This window comes from Homo sapiens, chromosome 10, assembly GCF_000001405.40.
Source record: "Homo sapiens chromosome 10, GRCh38.p14 Primary Assembly".
NCBI classification, from domain to species: Eukaryota; Metazoa; Chordata; class Mammalia; order Primates; family Hominidae; genus Homo; species Homo sapiens.
This window is the reverse complement of record NC_000010.11, coordinates 124,287,883-124,291,082: the sequence shown is the minus strand read 5'-3', so window position 1 is coordinate 124,291,082 and position 3,200 is coordinate 124,287,883.

Below are 3,200 nucleotides of genomic sequence, written 5' to 3'. Positions count from 1 at the left end.
AGCTGGCAGGGGTTGGCTTCTGTCTTTGAATATCCTGGGAGCTCCTCTCATTCTTACTGTCAGAATGTGACATGTTCCATCTTGAAGCTAAACTCTACAAGAATATAAACTCTTTGAAACCAGACACAGTGGGTAATTTGGGGGAACACATTTCAATTTCGAGATGGATTATAATCATGGATATACTTGGAGCACTTCATTTTGTCTGTCTACATGGGTTACACAGAAAGCTGGTTACCATGGAGAAGGTTCCAGTCATTTACAAATGGCCATTCAACCATTCTCCATTTGACAGTTACTAGCTGAATGCCTACTATGTGCCAGGCTCTGCACCCAGCCGTGAGGACTGAGACATATTGACTCTGGTGCCTGCCCTGGTGGCCCCCACCTGACCGAGGACCATCCCAGCCAGGGCCAGCTGGGTCCTTCCCCACGCTCAAATGCAACGTGCGGTTGGGGTCATCTGGAGGAAATGACTCAGCAACTGCATTAAAGCACAGCTCGCAGCCCATGGGTTGAGCATCTTCTTTCTGCCCCTGCAGGAGGAGGGTTAGAGGGAGTGTTTAAGAGCCTGGATTTAAACCCCTGGCCCTGCTACTTCCTGGCTGGGTGGCCTTGGGCAAGTTACTTAACCTCTCTGCACCTCAGCTTCTTTAGAAACATAGGGCTTTCATATCCACCTCACAAGGATAAAAGGAAACTGCACATAAAGCACTTCGCACGCAGCTGTCACACTGTGTGTGCACACGACAGCTGGCAATGACTGTTGTTTTCATTATACCTTCTGCCCTGAAGAGTGCGGTTTCCCGCGAGCTCCCGGTTCTGATCATGCTGCTGCCCATCTTGGAGGTGCCAGCAGGCTCGCTGCCAGTGGACTCCTCTCCTGCCATGCAGGGCCCTTTGCTGCCACCTGGCCCCAACCAGGCCACCCACCTGAGGCTCTCCCAAAAGGCAGACATGGAAAAGAAAATACCCCTGGAATATGCTCTGGGCTTTCCTGTTCCCTGCCCAGCGGCAGGCTGTTCCTGCTCTGAAATGCCTTTCTGCCCTTGCACTCTCCCTTGTTAACACCCTCTGTCCGGGCGTGTTTCTGGAGCCACACTCTCCAGGAAGCTGTCTTGGGTTTCCCCTCTTTTGTAGCACTTCGTCTGTCCCTCCATGGCTCCTCTCAGTTGGGTTGAGAGGCCCTCCAGGGCAGAGACTGGGTCTTCCTGAACCTGTGCATGGTGCAAGCAGGGGCTCCTGCGCTGCTGACCCTGCCTGGGCTGGGACAGGGATGGCCGGACACTGGCAGCGGTCACAGCAGGGTGTGGAGGGAGGCAAGGAGGCACCGGGACAGCTGAAGGACTAAGGCAGTTGCTTCCACTTGCTGGTGCTTGGCCAGCTCGGTGCCCCAGGGCTGAGACCCTGGTTGGGTGAACAGCGTTGAGCGAGAGAGCTTGTGTCTAGGTTTGTGTCCCCATTTGTTCCTTGAAACGAGCAATGACTTACGTGGTCAGGGTGCTGTTGGTGAACGTTGCCAGTTTTGTGACCATCCCCCGGCAGGAGGACTGACCCTGAGGGCTAAGCTTCCTCTGAGGGAACACTGCTTCTGGTCAATCTCCAAGCAGCTGGCCTGTGCCCTTCTGCCATGGGCTGCGTTTTCCTTCTGGCTTCAGTGAGTGGGGCTGAAGTTGGAGCTCATGGTTGGGAGAAGCGGGATGGAGGTGCAGGTCAGGAATCTCAGAGCCTCCTCTGCATCACCCAGGCTGGAGGGACTCCTCAAGAGACTCCCTTTGCTCCCCGCCCTTGTTCTGTGGCACCCTGCTCAGATCACAGCAGGGCCTGTGTGGCCAGCGCTCTGCGGACACCAGGGCTTTGTGAGATGCCCTGTGGAAGAGAGTGTTTGTCTTCTAAGGAGTTTGGGAAATCCCTTTTGCGGAGATTCATATTCCCCAATAAATAGCACTTTAAAGGCTCCTGATAAGTCCTGCAGAGAAGAAGCTTGCTGGTCTTTATTTAAACCAGCGTCGACAAGCTTTCCTGTAAAGGCCCACCTAGTAAATATTTGAGGCTCTATTACAACTGCTCAGTTTGGCCGTTGTGGTGTCAAAGCGGCCCTGGACACACCTACACCAGTGTCCCCATCAGGCTTTATTGACACACACAGGAGCAGGGCTGCTTTTGGCCTGTGAGCTGCAGTTTGCTGGCCCTGATGGGAACCATCATCTTTCTCCCTTTCCTCCCCCCGCTCCTCTTCCCTCCCTCAATGTTTTATGGAGGCCAGTGATGTGCTAAGAGCATGTTTGTGTGCAGCCACTTGTTCTCAAGTCAAGGTGCTTATATTTCACGCGCAGGATCCATTCTTTAAGTCACTGTGTCATTCACAACTTGAATAATTCAAGACCTATTTCCCGCAGCACAGACAAAGGACAGGGCATGATTATTCACCAGCTTCGTGGTGCTGACACAGGCAGGACAGCAAGCCCCGATCACAGCTTATTCAGCCAGCAGGTTGGCAATTACACGATTCTTGCTATGTTTTGAACGTTTTAAGAGGGGAGATTTGCATTGTTTAGTATTTTGTGCACAGGGAGGTTTCCTTGATATTTTTGTTTTTTAAATTTTAAATGTTTATGTATTTTCATTTTTGAGACAGGGTTTTGCTCTGCCACCCAGACTGCAGTGCAGTGCTGTCATAGCTCTCTGCAGCCTCGACTTCCTGGGCTCAAGCAATCCTCCTGCCTCAGCCTCCCAAGTAGCTGGGATCATAGGCATGCACTACCACACTCAGCTAATTTTTTAAATTTTTTATGTAGAGATGAGGTCTCCTTATGTTGCCCATGCTTGTCTGGAACTCCTGGGCTCAAACGATCCTCCTGTCTCCGCCTCCCAAAATGTTGGGATTACAGGTGTGAGCCACTGCGCCCAGCCTCTTGACATTTTTAAGCCACATTTTCTCAAAAATTTAAATCACTTGGAGTGTACCACACACCTATTATTAGCACCCTGAGGGCTGTGGGTCCCATGGCACCCACTTTGGGAACCATCGGTGTGGCCTTTCACAGTGCCAGAGTGCTTCGACGGGGCAGCCGCTGCTAAATCAGACCCCTGCACCTGGAATCTCCCAGTTGAGCAAGGCCTGAGTGCTGGGCCCAGAGCTGGGTAAGCCCTTGCACTGGTGGCTGCAGTGGGGAATGGCCTCCTCTTTCCTGCTCTTC